Source organism: Homo sapiens, chromosome 8 (assembly GCF_000001405.40).
Source record: "Homo sapiens chromosome 8, GRCh38.p14 Primary Assembly".
Taxonomy (NCBI): domain Eukaryota; kingdom Metazoa; phylum Chordata; class Mammalia; order Primates; family Hominidae; genus Homo; species Homo sapiens.
Genome location: NC_000008.11, coordinates 144107698 through 144124259, shown reverse-complemented (window position 1 = coordinate 144124259; position 16562 = coordinate 144107698). Strand labels below are relative to the sequence as shown.

The 16562-nt window shown below is 56.5% G+C and overlaps 1 protein-coding gene across 11 annotated transcripts, besides 1 other annotated feature; it reads right to left on the bottom strand.

Moving 5' to 3' along the window:
* Positions 1 to 5931: 5931 nt before the first annotated feature.
* On the bottom strand, positions 5932 to 16521 carry WDR97 (WD repeat domain 97). 11 transcript variants are annotated; one of them, XM_047421750.1, is made up of 24 exons: positions 16398 to 16521; positions 16065 to 16201; positions 15316 to 15944; positions 15090 to 15211; positions 14226 to 14925; positions 14004 to 14146; positions 13683 to 13919; positions 13521 to 13611; positions 13264 to 13396; positions 13038 to 13159; positions 12774 to 12834; positions 12479 to 12628; positions 12116 to 12373; positions 11911 to 12036; positions 11730 to 11813; positions 10692 to 10820; positions 10379 to 10603; positions 10098 to 10283; positions 9785 to 9982; positions 9585 to 9706; positions 9349 to 9511; positions 8402 to 8919; positions 8247 to 8317; positions 5932 to 8169 (listed from the first exon to the last, which is right to left on the bottom strand). In XM_047421750.1, exons 1-24 carry the CDS (start codon positions 16507 to 16509, stop codon positions 7967 to 7969), a joined length of 4920 nt encoding a protein of 1639 aa, XP_047277706.1. In that variant the 5' UTR covers positions 16510 to 16521; the 3' UTR covers positions 5932 to 7966. The 11 variants fall into 11 exon arrangements, with proteins under 11 accessions (XP_047277706.1, NP_001303238.1, XP_047277704.1 ...); NM_001316309.2 differs by having other exon boundaries at positions 10743 to 10820; XM_047421748.1 differs by having other exon boundaries at positions 9585 to 9982; positions 16065 to 16214.
* Positions 15048 to 15578: an enhancer, noted in NCBI's record as "H3K27ac-H3K4me1 hESC enhancer chr8:145163585-145164115 (GRCh37/hg19 assembly coordinates)". NCBI's record gives its function as "activates a minimal SCP1, AML or CMV promoter by ChIP-STARR-seq in primed H9 embryonic stem cells {active_cell/tissue: H9 hESC(primed)}" and the evidence as "EXISTENCE:reporter gene assay evidence [ECO:0000049][PMID:30033119]".
* Positions 16522 to 16562: the final 41 nt, after the last annotated feature.

The following is a 16562-nucleotide window of genomic DNA, read 5'->3' as shown; positions in this document are numbered from 1 at the left end:
GTGGATTCCTCTTCTATTCAAAGAAATGTAATATGTAATATTGTGTTCTCATTATGTTGATCCTCAACCTGTTCGTGATTTGGCCAGTGGAAGACCCTTCAAGATGGCTCTTGTCTTTTTTTTCTTTTTGGAGACAGGGTCTCGATCTGTCACCCAGGCTGGAGTGCAGTGGCTCCATTATATACTCACTGCAACCTTGAAGTCCTGAGCTCAAGCGATCATACTGCCTCAGTGTCCTGAGTAGCTGGAACAACAGGCACACACCTCCATGCCCCGACTTGCTCACTCATTTTCTTTCTGGTCTTTTTTTTTTTTTTTTAGACGGAATCTTGCTCTGTCGCCAGGCTGGAGTGCAGTGGCATGATCTCTGCTCACTGCAACCTCTGCCTCCTTGGTTCAAGCGATTTCCCTGCCTCAGCCTCCCAAGTAGCTGGGACTACAGGTGCGTGCCACCACACCCAGCTATTTTTTCTTATATTTTTAGTAGAGATGCGGTTTCACCATGTTGGCCAGGATGGTCTTGATCTATTGACCTCGTGATCCACTTGCCTCAGCCTCCCAAAGTGCTGGGATACTTGCCCATTTTCTAATGGGATGGTTTTTAATTTATAAATAATAATTATATATATTCATATGGTACATAGTGATATTTCAACACGTATAATGTATAGTGATCAGATCAGGGTAATTAGCACATCCATCATATCATTGATTTGTGTTGGGAACATCCAATATCCTCCTTCTAGCTATTTGCAATATATAACTGTTAGCTGTAGTCATCCTACAGTAGTATAGAATGCTAAAACTTATTCTATCTAGCTGTAATTTTGCAACCTTCAACAAAACTCTCCCTATCTCCTTCCCACCTCCCTTCCCAGCCTCAGTATCCTCTGTTCTACTTTTTACTTGTATGAGATCAGCTTTTTTTTAGCTTTCACATGTGAATGAGAACATGCCGCGTTTAACTTTCCGTTCCTTGCTTATTTCACGAACATCATGTCCCCTGGTTCCATCCATGTTGCTTTTTATTCTTTTCACGGCTGAATAGTATTCCATTGTATATATGTACCATGTTTTCTTTGTGCATTAATCTGTTGTTGGACACTTGAGTTGACTGCATATCTTGGCTACTGTGAATGGTGCTGCAATAAACACAGGGCGCAGATATCTCTTCCACAGACGGATTTGCTTTCCTTTGGATAAATTTCTCAGTTGTAAAATTGCTGGATCATCTGGTATTCTATCTGTAGTTTTTTGAGGAACCTCCATACCATTATCCACAGTGGCTGTAACAGTTTTCATTCCTTCCAACAGTACATTGTTTTCTCCATATCCTTACCAGTATGTTATTTTTTTCTTTTTGACAATAGCCATCCTAACTGGGGTGAGGTAATACTTCATTGTGGTTTTGATTATATTTCCCTGATGATTAGTGATGTTGAGCATTTTTTCCATATATTTGTTGGCCATCTGTATGTCTTTTGAGAAATGTCATTCGGTTCATTTGTATGACATGTTTAAATCAGATTTTTGTTGTTGTTGTTGAGATGTTCGAGTTTCTTGTATATTCTGGATATCAATCCCTTTTCAGATGGATAGATCACAAACATTTCCTGCCAGTCTGTAGCTTATCTTTTCATCTTCTGAACAAGGTCTTTTACAGAGCAAAAGTTTTTAAATTTGATGAAATCCAATTTACTGATTTTTTTCTTTTATAAATGGTGCTTTTGGTGTTGAGTCTAAGAACTCATTCAATCTCTAGGTCCAGAAGATTTTTACTTTTTTCTTATAATTTTTAGAGACAGAGTCTAACTTTGTCACCGAGGTTGGAGTGCAGTGGCAAGAACACGGCTCACTGCAGCCTCAACCTCCCAGGCTCAAGCTAATTTTTGTTTTCGTAGAGATGAGGTTTCATCATGTTGGCCAGGCTAGTCTCGAACTCCTGACCTCAGGTGATCGACCTGCCTCGGCCTCCCAAAGTGCTGGGACTACAGGAGTGATGGTCCAGAAGATTTTTTTGTATTTTCTTCCAAAATGCTTATAGTTTTACATTGTACATTTAAATACATGATCATTTTGAGTTTTGTCTTTGATTTTACAGCGTCTTTTGCCATATTTTTAAAAATCCAGGTCGAGCGCAGTGGCTCATGACTGTAATTCCAGCACTTTGGGAGGCTGAGGTGGGCGGATCACGAGGTGAGGAGTTGGATACCAGCCTGACCAACATGGTGAAACCTTGTCTCTACTAAAAATACAAAAATTAGCCAGGCATGGTGGCAGGTGCATGAAATCCCAGCTACTCAGAAGGCTGAGGCACGAGAGTCGCTTGAACCCGGGAGGTGAAGGTTGCAATGAACCGAGATCTCACCACTGCACTCTAGCTTGGGCGATAGATAGAGACCCTGTCTCAAAAAATAAATAAAAAATAAAATAAAATCCATAAATACATGTATCTTTTCTTTCTCTGGGTGCTATGAATATATTAACATATTTTCTATATTGTCTTCTGATATATTTATGTTTTACTTTTTACATTCTAATCTTCAAATCATTTGAAAACTACTTTTGTAAATAACATGAGGTAGGAGTCCAGCCTTGTATTTTTAATCAGTATATTCTGTGCTAGGCATTTTCCTTAAATCGTGTAGATATAATAATTCATTTATTTCTCACAACAGCCTTGTGAAGCATCTTTGCATTTTTATTCCCCTCTCAGAAATGGGGGACCTGGGGCTGGGCACGGTGGCTCATGCCTGTAATCCCAGCACTTTGGGAGGCCAAGGCGGGCAGATCATCTGAAGTCGGGAGTTCAAGACCAGCCTGGCCAACATGGTGAAAACCTATCTCTACTAAAAAGACAAAAAAAAACTTAGCCAGGCATGGTGGCACATGTCTGTAATCCCAGCTACTTGGGGGGCTGAGGCAGGAGAATCACTTGAACCCGGGAGGCAGAGGTTGCAGTGAGCCGAGATCGTGCCACTGCACTCCAGCCTGGGCGACAGAGCGAGACTCTGAGAAAAAAAAAAAAAAAGAAATGGGGGACCTGAGGCTTAGAGAACTTAGGTAACTTGCTGAAGTTCACAGAGCTAAAAGGTAGAGGAGCTGGGATTTGAACACAAAGAGTCAACCTCAGGGTGCCTTCACTTACCCATTCACGTTGCCCATCGCACAGGTGGCCTCTTATGCCAGCACCACTTATTAAGTCAACCATATCTTCCCCCTGAATCGCAGTGCCGGATTGTATGTATATTAAGTGTCCAGATATAAATGGATGTATTTCTGGATTGTCTACCACTGCTGTTTGTCCTTTTTTTTTTTTTTTTTTTTTGAGATGGAGTTTCACTCTTGTTGCCCAGGCTGGAGTGCAATGGCAAGATCTTGGCTCACTGCAACCTCCGCCTCCTGGGTTCAAGTGATTCTCCTGCGTCAGCCTCCTGAGTAGCTGGGATTACAGCTGCGTGCCATCATGTCTGGCTAATTGTTTTTGTATTTTTAGTAGAGACAGGGTTTCACCATGTTGGCCAGGCTGGTCTTGAACTCCTGACCTCAGATGATCTGCCCACCTCGGCCTCCCAAAGTGCTGGGATTACAGGCATGAGCCACCATGCCTGGCCTGGGTTTGTCCATTTTTATATCAATAGTATTTTGATTACAATGTCTTTATAGTAAATATAACTATTCATAAGAGATTCCCTACTCACTCTGTGTCCCGTTACAAGAGTAGTTGCTAGGCAGTGGCTCATGCCTGTAATCCCAGCATGTTGGGAGGCCGAGGTGGGAGGATTACTTGAGCCTGGGAGTTCCAGACCGGTCTGGACAGCATGATGAAACTCTGTCTCTACAAAAAATACAAAAATTAGCTGGGCACGATGGTGCATGCCTGTAGTCCCAGCTACTTGGGAGGCTGAGGTGGGAGTATCACCTGAGCCCAGGTAAGTCAAGGCTGCAGTGAGACATGATCATACCACTGCACTCCAGCCTGAGTAACAAAGTGAGACCCTGTCTCATTAAAAAAAAAAAAAAAAAAAAGCTGCTATAATTGATACTTTTTTTTTCTTTTTTTCGAGACGGGGTATCGCTCTGTCACCCAGGCTGGAGTGCAGTGGCAAGATCTCGGCTCACTGCAACCTCCGCCTCCTGGGTTCAAGCGATTCTCCTGCCTCAGCCTTCCGAGTAGCTGAGACTACAGGCATGTGCCACCATGGCCGGCTAATTTTCTTGTATTTTTAGTAGAGACGGAGTTTCACCATGTTGGTCAGGCTGGTCTCAAACTCCTGACCTCAAATGATCCACCAGCCTCGGCCTTAATTGATAGTCTTTAATATTATTTTGGTAGTCCTTGCCAAAGCAAAAAGGAAATAAGATGTATATTTTACAAAAGGAGAAATCATCATTATTTGCCAAAGCTGTGATTGTCTGCTTAGGAAATACAAGATAGTCGAGATATTGTTTGGACGAATAAGTAGGTTCAACTAGGTAACCACATACAAGTCTAGCATCCAAAAGAACAACAGCTTTCCCAGGATTCACCAGGATCCCCTAGTCAGAAATATAGTGACCACCCTTTTGACAGACAGAATTTAATTCAAGAACTTGATTACACAGGTGACAGATGAATAACAGAAATAGGAACCAGCAAGGGAAAAATTAGAGGGAGCAGCTGCCACCGGTAGGCCTGAAGAACAAAAGGAAGAGGCCAACTTATCACGGCAGGCATTAGCTCCACCTGGATATTTCCCCGTCACATTCCCTCTGGTGCCATCTGGTCACTGCAATGGTCAGCTCCCCCTGCAGAGCCCCTACTGCTTGGGGACCACTTGGGTGGGCCAGGTGTTGGCGCAGAGCAGTGTTCCAGAGCTGTGGCTAAGAGCCACGTGTTCTCCTCAAGGTACTAGTTTTCTTGTTTACATTCCTCTATAATGTAGCGTAGCCTTATAAACTTGGACACGCATTCTTCCTGTGTCTTATTAAATTCAAGCACTCTTTTTCGTCAGGTTAGACTTCCATGATATCTAAATGAGTTTCCATAAAGGAGAGGTAATCACACCACAGGAAGTTTTTCTCTTTTTTCTTTTTTTTGAGACAGAGTCTCACTTTGTCAGCCAGGCTGGAGTGCAGTGGCGCGATCTTGGCTCACTGCAACCTCAGCCTCCCGGGTTCCAGCGATTCTCCCACCTCAGCCTCCTGAGTAGCTGGGACTACAGGCGTGTACCACCATGCCTGGCTAATTTTTGTATTTTTAGTAGAGATAGGGTTTCACCATGTTGGCCAGGCTGTTTTTTTGTTTTTTTTTTTTGGTGTGTGTGTGTGTGTGCGGCGGGAGGGGGCGGTTTGAGACAGAGTTTCATTCTTGTTGCCCAGGCTGGAGTGCAATGGCGCGATGTAGGTTCACTACAACCTCCGCCTTCCAGGTTCAAACGATTCTCCTGTCTCAGCCTCCCGAGTAGCTGGGATCACAGGCATGCGCCACCACACCTGGCTAATTTTGTATTTTTAGTAGAGACGGGGTTTCTCCATGTTGGTCTGGCTGGTCTTGAACTCCTGACCTCAGGTGATCTGCCCGCCTCCACTTCCCAGAGTGCTGGGATTACAGGCATGAGCCACCAAGACCGGCCCTTTTTTTTTTTTCTTTTTTTGAGACATGGTCTTGCTCTTGTCACCTAGGCTGGAGGGCAATTGTGTGATCTCGGCTCACTGCAACCTCCGCCTCCCGGGTTCAAGCAATTCTCCTGCCTCAGCCTCCCGAGTAGCTGAGACTACAGGCATGTGCCACCACACCCAGCTAATTTTTGTGTTTTTAGTAGAGACAGGGTTTTATCATGTTGGCCAGGCTGGTCTCAAACTCTTGACCTCAAGTGATCTGCCTGCCTCAGCCTCCCAAAGTGCTGGGATTACAGGCGTGAGCCACCACACCCGGCCTAAACTAGATAATTTTTTTTTTTTTGACACAGAGTCTCGCTCTATTGCCGAGGCTGTAGTGCAGTGGTGTGATCTCTGCTTGCTGCAACCTCCACCTCCTGGGTTCAAGTGATTCTCCTGCCTCAGCCTCCCAAGTAGCTGGGATTACAGGTGTGAGCCACCACGCTCGGCTAAACTAGATAATTTTTAAGGAACAAGTCTCTTGCCTGATGTGTGGGTGTGATATTATGATATCTGTCATTGGTTTCCATCCACAGTTCCTGGCTTATAACTCCCATATCCCTTGTTATAATGTTGGGGAACTTAGGCCTCAGAGGCAAGACTCAGACAACAGCATCTTTCTCTTTGACCTTTTCCCACCCTCCTTTTTCTCCCCAAGGCAGGACTTTCCCCTGCCTTTGCTGTCTTGGAGATAGCCATAAAGAAGGCTGGGCACAGTGGCTCATGCTTGTAATCCCAGCACTTTGAGAGGCTGAGGCAGGCGGATCACCTGAGGTCAGGAGTTCGAGACCAGCCTGGTCAACGTGATGAAACCCCATCTCTACTAAAAATACAAAATTAGCTGGGCGTGGTGGCACATGCCTGTAATCCCAGCTACTCAGGAGGCTGAGGAAGGAGAATTGCTTGAATCCGGGAGGCAGAGGTTGCAGTGAGCCGAGATCACGCCATTGCACTCCAGCCTGGGCAACAAGACTGAAACTCCATCTCAAAAAACAAAACAAAACAAAACAAAACAAAACAGATAGCCATAAAGAAATCCTCTGACCTACCTTGTCTGATTGTAAGTCATGTGGGGTCCCTCAGATCCCCCCCTGCCCCCTGCTATCTTTCTGTGTCCTGACCAAAAATCAGAGGGCCTTGGCCACTCTGTGACCCAGCAGCTGCAGGACTGTCCCAGCAGGCTTGAACCCAAACTGGGGGCCTTGACATCGCTAGACACTGATCGAGGTATCTAGGTTTACTCATTTTTTTTATAAAAAGTGTCAAGTCCTCTAGTGACAGACTCAGTCCTCAGTCTCATCGCACACCTGTGAACCTTGGCCTTCTGCAGTGGGAGGATGCGGTAGTGCCTGGAGGTGAAGAGGCAGGTTCAGCTGGGCCCAGCAACTTGGCTGTCCCGCACGGTCCTGCGCACCCATGCTCTTGGGATGGTGGCACCACTGTGTCAAGCACCGGCCTGGGAAAGAGCAGCCATTTGGTGGCCCCATAACAAGAGCCACCGCACAGTTTGGGGTGACAGGGAAGGTGTGGAGAAGCGATTCTAACCAGAGCCATCAAGAAGAAACTAGTAAAGTCAGAGGCTACAGATACAGGAGGGAAATCACTGCTCAGACAACACAAAAGACAGGTGTAAAAGCCGGGGATTCCCCCCAGAGCTGCCCCAAGAACTCTGTGCACAGGTCTTGCGCCCTGCCAGGCCACACAGGGCAGAGGGGCCCGGCCCAGAGGCCGAGCCCTTCCGGACCAAGCCCCTCCCCTAGGGACTTTCAGGCTAAAGGGGTCAGAGGATGCTCTGCGTTGCCGCTCAGAAAAAAGCTCCTGGTGCCTTTGTCAATTCTTCTCTTTGCCAGAATAAAAGTAACGAAAGCAAGGTCTGCAAACTCCTGGTCTCACCTGCATCGACCCGGAAGGCTCATCCTGGGACCGCCCAGGCCCTCCCGGACTCCCCTCCACACCAGGCTGTGGGCTGGCCCAGGACACGTTCTCTAAGGTCAGCCCGCATCTCAACACCTAGTACTTGAGCAGAAAACGTTTGCTCAGTGCCCAGCGGATGGTACCCCGCTATGGGTCTCCTCTGCCCTAGGCCGGCCACCCCTCCGGGAACGCTGGTGCCCACGATGGCCACCTCCGCCAGGCCTCCGGCTCCTGCCTTCCGCCGCCACTGTGGGTTCAGGCCGCACGCCCACACGCCGTGCGCACCCCGGGGCCCTCCAAAGCAGGCGGCATCCTGCAGAAAGAAATTCTCTGGACTTTATTCCCGATGCAGGCCTTGGCCAAATACCAATGACAGGCCCCAGAGCCAGGCGGGCTGAGGCCACCAGTCCGGTCAGCTGTAGGTGTCAGGGTCCGCGTCCGCTGGCAGAAAGTAGCGCTGCAGGGCCGGCTGCAGGAGCCGCGGGGGCAGCGGGCGCGGGGGCATAGGCCAGTCCAGGGGGAAAGGCTGCGGCTCCACACGCGGCAACGGCAGCTTCAGCGTCCGGATGGGGCCGTCCAGGGTGCGGCCCGCACAGAGCCGGGACCGCATGGGGCCTGGGGGCGGGCGGAGGCTTATGAGGCCCGGGGGCTGGGGTGGGTGGGGTCCAGTCTCCACCCCTGGCTCCACTCACCCCTCAGTCTCATCGCGGACCTCGCGGACCTCTGCGGCTTGGCCTCCTGCAGCCGGAGGATGGGGTGGTACCTGGAGGCAAAGAGGAGGGTTCAGCTGGCCCAGCCCCACGCTTGGCTGCCCCACGCAGGCCCCGCCGGCGCAGGCCCCGCGCACCAGTGCTCCCGCGGAGGTGGCACCACCATGTCGGGCACCGGCGCCACCGTGTAGGGCTCTGGCGGGTGTGGGTGCGCAGCCTTCTCCTGGAGCGAACTCCGCTGCTGCGCCCGCAGCTGCTCACAGAAGAAGTTGAGCGCGTCGATGGGGCCCAAGTCCAGCAGCTGCGAGTGCGACCAGTCGGTCTCCTCCAGCGGCGGCGGCTCTCCGGGCAGCTGAGCAGGCCCGGCAGGGTGCAGGCGGGCCTCGGGCTCCAGGCAGAAGCTCTTCAGCGTCTCGGAGAGCACTCTGAGACGGAGCTGAGGGGTCCCCCAGCTGCGCTTGGGTGCCAGCATCCGCTGGGCCTGGAGCTCCGGGGCTAAAGAGTGCGGCTCCGCAGGTGAGACCACCATCAAAGGCACCTCTGAGACCTGCGAGAGCCTCCCGAAGATGCCGGAGGCCGACCAGGAGGTGCCCGAGGGTATCACGGAGGCGCGTGTGGGTGCCCCAGAGACCACTGACGTCTGCGATGGGGTCTCCTTGGGAGGAGAGGAAAGTGCTAAGGTCTTAGAGACCTTGGGCAGCACCACCAGCAACTTGGCTGCAGACAGTGGCTGCGAGCTTTCCATCTGTCAGGAGGTGACCCATGGCCAAGCACCCTGGCTCCTCGAGCATCCACATGGCCACTGAAACTCCCTTCTGCCCGATGCTCAGCCCAAGGCAGGGGCTGCCACTCCCCTGACAAGGAGGTCCCAGGGCTGTCCCTGGTTCGGGCCAGACACCCCCTGCTGACTTCCAGCTGCACAGGGAAATCCCTAGAGATGCTCAGGGCAGGGAGGCTGGAGGCCCAGGACTGGGCAAGGCAAGGAAGGAGCCTGTGGCCTCAGCTGGCTTTGACCCCAGGACTTGCAGAAAGCCAGAGAAGGCAACAGGGTTCCCAAGGCCCCCCCGGCCCCTGCCGGCCCAACCTGAAGCTCCTGGATCATGTCCTCCAGTTTCTGGTGGCAGCAAGTGCGCAGGCCGGCCTTGGAGTCCAGGTCTGGGCCCTGGACCCAGGTCATCATCTCCTTGAATAGGAAGCCCTCTGGGTCCTGAAGGCCCAGCCCGTGCAGCAGCTTCTTGAGCTCTGGCCTGGGACAGGTGCATGTGGCTTGTCCAGAGGCCTTCCCAGTGGCAGGGAGGGCTGGGCAGGAGCGCAACTCACCGGCAGTGCACGGGAGAGTAGAGGAAGTAGGACATGAGCTCCAGCACCACATCCCGGGACTCCAGGGAGCAGGCCAGGAGCAGCTGCAGCGCCAGTATCACGAACTTCTTCTGTGTCTGGTCCTGAGGCAGGCGGTGGGGATGTGGTTGCTGAGGGCCGGTGGGCGGGGAGGAAAACTGGGGGCAGGACAAGGGGCACACCTGGAGGCTGGGGGGCTGGTCCAGGTTGAGCAAGTGTACGAGCAGGCCCTGCAGCTGGCCTTGGAGATCACTGCTCATGTTGGGCAGCAGTCTCAGTAGCACCTGCAGGATGTGCACACGGTCGACCCACGTGGTCTTCTCCAGCAGGGCCACCAACAGCGAGGCCAGGCCCTCGATCGTGCCCGCCTCCGGGTATGCCTGCAGGGTAGCATGCTGAGGCCCTGCTCCCATGTCACACCCAAGCCAGCCCCTACCTTCTCCCCTGTCCCTCACCCTAACCCATGCTTCTCATGCATCCCCAGTTCCCTCCAACCTGCAGGCTGAAGATGGGGAACAACTTTTTGAACCAGGTCTGGTAGATGAAGAAATGCAGAAACTTGGGCAGATGCCCGTAATGCTCATCCAAGAGCAAACTCCCATGACGGTGCCAGGGATGAGGGTGGGTCCTGGCAACCTTGCAGCTGCGCCGCCGGGGCTCCTGGGTCCAGTCCACAGCACTCTAGGGGAGCAGCAGTGGCTGCAGGTCCCACCTGTCTGGGTCTCAGTGTAAGCCCACCTCCCGTGGTGGCCTGGGGCCTCTGCCTGAGCCTCTACCTGATCCTCCAGTTCCCAGGAATCCAGCTGCTGGTTGGAGTGCGGGCTCAGGGAAGCCAAGGCCCAGTCCAGCTCCTCGTCTTCCTTCTCCTCCTCCTCTTCCTTCTTGTCTTCCTCCCCCTCCTCCCCAGGCTTCTCCCCCATCCATTGGAGCAGCTTCCTCTGCCACTGGGTTTGGGATGGCCTGGGGCGCCACAACCACAGGGCATCCTGGCTTGCCCCTGGCTGCAGAGGGGCAAGAGATGGTGCCTGATGGGTTGCAAGGACAGCAGAGCCCTCCCCTGCCGGCAAAACCCCCAGCCCTGCCCCTTGCCTCGAGCTTTCTCTGGGAGGCGAGCTGAGTCGGGGATCCGAGGCTGCTGACCTCCGCATTTAGCCACATCTGCTGTAGCACCGCGGAGTTGGGCACATAGCCGGGGAAGCAGATGGGCCTCAGGCAGTGCTGGAGGTGGGCACAGCAGGGAATGCTGAGGACCTGGATTCCCCAGCCTGGACACCACCCTTGGTCACCTGTATAACCTCTCAGAGCCCCTCAGCCGCCAGTCCAGCTCTGCCTGCCAGGCCTCCGAGAGCTGGCTGAGCTAGCAACCCCTACTCTCAACACAGATGGCAGGAGAACCCTGAGATACCAGGGGCGAGGCCCTCAGTGAGCATCAGCTCTGACAAACGAGAAGGGAAACCTGGAGAAGTGCTGGCTTCTAGGGGCCCTGACACCCTGCAAGCTCCTTACAGGACTTGGCCCCAGCCCTGGGACAAGAAAGTCTAAAAGAAGCACAGGGGCCAGGGAGGAAGGAAGGAGCTTGGAGAAAGGGCAATGAAGAGCATGATGGTGGCACCCAGGCCCAAAGAGTCAATTACCCACCTGGGCAGGTGACAGTGCCAGGAATATGCTGGGGGAGGGGCTGAGGCCTGCCTGGGCACCTGGTGTACGTGAGGGTGGGAAGACAGTGGATTCTAAAGGGCCAGGTTCCCTTGACTTTGCTCCTCTAAAGGGCAGGGATTCTGATCTTCCAGGAAAAGTCCCTAGGGGACCTGCCCTCCCAGCGCCTCCACGGGGGAAAGGGGTGTGTGGCATAACCGGCTGGGGGGACTGGCTTTGCCTGATGTCAGCTCCCAGAGCAGCAAGGAGCCTGTGGCCACAAACACAGCTGTACTGGAACAGGGCTAGACAGAGGGTGAAGGGTGAGGGGTGAGGGGTGCGTGGGAGGCTACAGCCTGGCCCTCTGGTTGTAGGTGGGCATGGCCCTTGGGTCAGATTTGGACACAAAGATTTGTAGCAAAGGGGAGATGGCAGGCACAAGAGTGATGCCTGGAGAGGAGTGGCTCTCCAGGAGCTGGGAGGGGGTCTCACCTTGTGGGGCTGCACGGTGGCAGGAAAGAAGCCCCTGAGGCTAGAGAGAGGTTCCTTGTCCCATCTCTTTGGCAGCAGTGGGATCTGGGGGATGGAATGGGGGCTCAGAACAACACAGCCCCTAGCACCCCGGCAGCTCTGCCCCTCAGTAGGTGGTACCCCACCTGCCTGGGTCCCTCACCCTGCACTGCAAGTGGGAGGATGGCAGGTCCAGGGCCATGGTCGTCCTCCCTCGGAGCTGCTCCAACTGCAGCTGCAGATCCAGACTGATGCCCAGGTAGTGGCTCAGTGAGGAGCGGGCCAGAAGCTGGGGCATAGGAGGAGTCACAGGGTGGCAGAGGGGTCATGGGGGCCCAGCAGGCATGTGGGAGGGTGGGAAGCCTCACCTGGGATGCCTTGCTGTGCACCCTACGGTGGGTGGGTGGGATCGGCACTGTGACTCGGGGAGACTGGGAGAAGTGCTGGCCCAGGGCTCCCAGGTCCTGTGGGGACAGGGCTGTTGGCACTGTTTGGGCTGCAGTGCTGACCTCAGCCCGGGCAAGACAGTGGGCAGCTTGGGGTACAGCACACACATCCCGGGTCTCTCTCTCCACTCTGAGGGTCCCGGCACTCCACTGCTGGGACCCCCTTCCAGACTGCATGCCCTGGGAGGTAGCAGGAGCAGACAGACCATCAGAGACCAGGTGGGAGGGGTGGGTGGAGAAGAGGGGCCAGGGTCAGGGCTGGGCTGGGGGAGGCCCTACACCTACCAGCAGGCCAGAGCCGTAGATCAGACGGAGGTAATTGTCAAAGCCTTCCTGGCGCTGCTGCCAGGAGGGTGGGGGCTGGGCTGCTGGGACCACTAGCCCCAGCCTCAACTGCTGAAGGTCTCGGTCCCGGGCCACTATGGCGTCCAAGTCCTGAGTCAGGGTTCAGGGATCAGCCTGCTCTTCCTTGAGCCTTGCTATGTGCTGCCCGGGCAACCATGGGGATCCCAGGCCTGCCCCAGGGCTGACGGCTGGGGCCTGAGCCGGGGCAGGGCGGGCTAAGGAGGACCCACCCCACCTCCTTCGGCACCAGGTGCTGAGATGTTGCCCTCCGACGATGGATGAGAGACAAGGCCTCGCTGCAAACAGGGACAGGCACAGGTGGGATGCTGGGTGGCATGCCAGTGGGCTGGGGCAGAGGCTGGGACAAGGACCAACCCCAAACGGGTGTGCCAGGGCTCAGGCAGGCTTGTATCAACTCCAGAGGGCCCCACACCGCCAGGCCCCCACCCAGAGTGGGAAAGGAGGGCCTCCAGGAGGGCTGAGCAGGCCTGCATGGGACCTGAGGCTGGCTGCCCCATGGAGGTTGGTGAGCCTCTGCAGTTGGGCGGAAGTCAGTGACTCCTGGCTCATCAGTGGCAGCGGAGGGTCGTCCACCACGTCTGGGGCCTTCCGGCACATCTTCTGAATAGGGGAAGGAGCCTGTATCCCTGGCTGGGGGAACCTGGGTCTGCCCCCCAAGGTGAGCAAGGGGGGCCCACCTTGCTCACTCTGTCCTCACCACACACCTTAACTAGGTAGGATGTAGGCAGGTAGAGCCTGTGGGACACCAGGCAGAGGCGGGATCCCAGCGCCAGCACCAGGTCTCCACTGTTGCTGCAGAAAGCCAGGGCCTGAGGGGCACCATTCAGCTGCAGGAGCCTGGAGAGGCACCCAGGGCAGCCGAGGCTCAGCAGGGACAAGGCCTTCTCCACTCAGTCCAGCCAGTGGGCTCTGGTGAGGAGCAGAGGTAGGAGACCCCAGCCCTCCCCACCTCCTAGCCTACCGCAGGAGGCGGTTCTCAGCAGTCCAGATGCGAACGGTGCAGTCCAGGCTGGAGCAGGCATACAGTTTGAGCGTGGGGCAGCAGCACAGGCCTGGCGGCAGGGTTCAGGGTCAGGAACCGGAGCTGGGCGGTGGCTGGGCTTCACCCATGCTGCCCCCTCACCAGTGATGTGGTCCGTGGGGTCGTCCTGGGGCCGGTGGTCTAATCGCGGACTGTCGCCCAGGCCAAACTGCACCAGGCCGTAGGTAGCGCTGTCTGGGTCCTCAAAGCCCGCGGTGACGCGTCTGCCTAGCGCACAGAGCGCCACGGCCGGGTAGCAGCAGGAGAAGGTGCGCAGCAGGCTCAGGCTCTCTTCGGCATAGGGGAAGACGCGCCACATCTTCACCGTCAGGTCCCCACCTGTGGGCAGCGGAATCTGGCTGGGCCTTGTCGGAGGGGAGGGGGCTCTGTGGCGGCCTGGCCTTTGGCAGGGGAGCTACTGACCCGAAGACACAATGCTGTTCCAGGTGGATGCGATGGCGACAACCGGGCCCGGGCTGTGCGCCTCCGTTTGGAAGACAGTCTTCGACGAGAGCCACTCCAGCACCGACAGCGTGCCGTCCGTGTGCCCCACCACTGGCAGGTACCTGCGAGTGGGAAGAGCCTGTTGGCGCGGACCCTGCCGCTCCTTCCGCCCGCCAGACCCTCGCCGGCTCCCGCACCCACCGGTTCTTGTTCTTCCAGGCGCAGGCCACAGAGCTGCAGCGCAACTCGCCCCAGTGCTGGCGCACGATCTCCCAGGAGGAGAAGGCGCCTTCGAGATCCGTGAGGTGGCTGTACAGGTGCAGACAGCAAGGCTGCGGCGCAGGGGGCGGCGGCGGGCACACGCGGTGCAGCACGCTCATGGGGCAGCGCGCCGCGTTGGCGCGGACCAGGTGCCCAGCCCTGGTCAGCAGCCACAGCGCCTCGCGCGGCAGGCAGTAGGCCACGGCTGCCGCGCAGTCCTCCGGCTCCAGCAGCAGTGAGCTCACTATGCGCCCGGTGGCCGCCGACAGGAGGTAGACCGAGCCGTCGGCGCACGCGCACACGAGGCGCGTAGGCAGCGACTGGTGCGCAGGCGCGGGCAACGCGGGCGCCACCTGCACGTGGAGCACCTTGGCGGGCAGTTGCGCCAACGGCGAGTAGAGCTCGCGTACGCGCCACAGCTGCATGCTGCTCGCGCACAGGGACAGCACCGGCCAGCCCGGGCGCACCGGCGCCAGCAGACGGCCCACGCGCCGGGACAGCTTGTCCTGGCCCCAGAAGCCCAGCGCTACCTCGCCCACCTGCGCCGCCGCCTGCAGGTCCCAGGTGCGTAGCGTCCCGTCCTGCGAGGCCGACAACACCAGGGTCGTGTTCGGGAGCACAGTCATAGCCGTCACCGGGCCTGTGGGAGGGGTGCAGGTCACTCGGCCGACTGAAGGCAGGGGAGCCTTCAGCCTGTGTTGCAGTCAGCGCAGCAAGGCCTGGCCGGAGCTGCGGAGATGCTGGACAGCCTAGAGCGGCTGGAGGCAAAGGGCCGAGGCTCGGGGTGCAGAGAACTCAGAGCACCTGTGTGGCCCACGAACACCATCCGGATCTGCCAGTCAGCCTCCCACACCTTCACGGTGCTGTCCCGGGAAGCTGTCACCATTGCCTCTACTTCCTCGCAGTAAGCCAGGTCCGAGATGGTGCTACAGGTGGGGAATGGGAGAATCCCAATGGACTTAACATCGCCTTGTGTGTGAGGGCCGTGTGCCCCTACATGCCTGGCCCTCCCTAGGGGGATCCCCCTCACGTTTTGTGCAAATCCCGGCGCACATCTACGAGAGTCCAGGCATGCAGATCGAAGGTGAGCACGGCCGAGCCATAGGCCGCGAAGCAGCGCAGGACGTGGTGGGGAGGAACCGGCGCCACAGCCAGACGCATGAGCCTGCCTGTTGGGCTCGGGGGCGGGTGCAGTGCTGACCCTCGCAGCACCAGGCGGCGACCACCTGAACGGAACTGCCAGAGCGCCAGGCTGCTGTTCATCTCCGCAACGAGCAGCAGCCTGAGGTCGGGAACCGGCAGGCAGCAGGTGGGCGCCCAACCCGGGGCCCTGCCCACCCCCTGCTCGCTCAGCCACAGCAGGCTGAGGTTGGGCCTCAGAATTGCCAGCCCCGCGGGGCCCCAGCCTACAAAACGGCCCACGGCACCCAGCGGGCCCAGCACGGTCACCAGCCCCGTAAGCCGGACAGGCGCCAGCAGCGTCTCCTGTGCCCAGCCGTCTTCCTTGTGCAGGTGCAGGCGGCCCGCGCCGTCCAGCACCACGAAGCGTCCACCCACCGGGTCCTGCGCCACCGAGCGCAGCCCGGCTGCCACCTCCAGGCGGCGCAGTGGTTCCAGCCCATGCGTCAGGCGCGCCGCGCGCAGCTCGGCTCTCTTCTCCTGTGGGCCGGGGTGGGCGGGCCCGCAATCAAAGGTTGGGGCTACTCCGGCCTAGGGGACCCCTAAGGGAAGGCCCAGATCCGGAAAGAGGCCAGGAGGCGCAGGACAGGCACACCGCACCTTTTCCACGACTTCGTGGAGGCTGGTGCGCAGAAGCAGCCACAGCCGGCGGGCGCGGGCGCGCGGGGTCAGGCTTTGCCACTGTTGGCTGCTGGTCAAAAAGGGCAGGACCTGCGACGGCTCCGTGAAAGTCAACTCTGCGGGCAGGAACTGGAAGTTCTGCCACCTACAGCCTCAGGTCCTCGACCCTGACGGTTATGGGGAGCCCTCCTCCAGGGGCCCTGCCCTACCAGGGACTGCCCAGGGGAGTTTTGTTCCAGGGGACGGAACCCAAGCCCGAATGAGACCCACTTCCTAGCGGGATGCCCGGAGGGCGAGGCCAGGCCCCCTCACCATTCTTTTCGGTGAGCAGCCCAGGGTCTGGGACATCATAGCCATCCGCATCATACAGGTCCGAGTCCAGAACTAGGTTGTAGCCTTCTGCCTCCCACACCTCTGCCTCCATTTCAGCAACTGCGGTCCCAGAGCCCAACAGCTCCCAGGACTTAGCGGTCACGG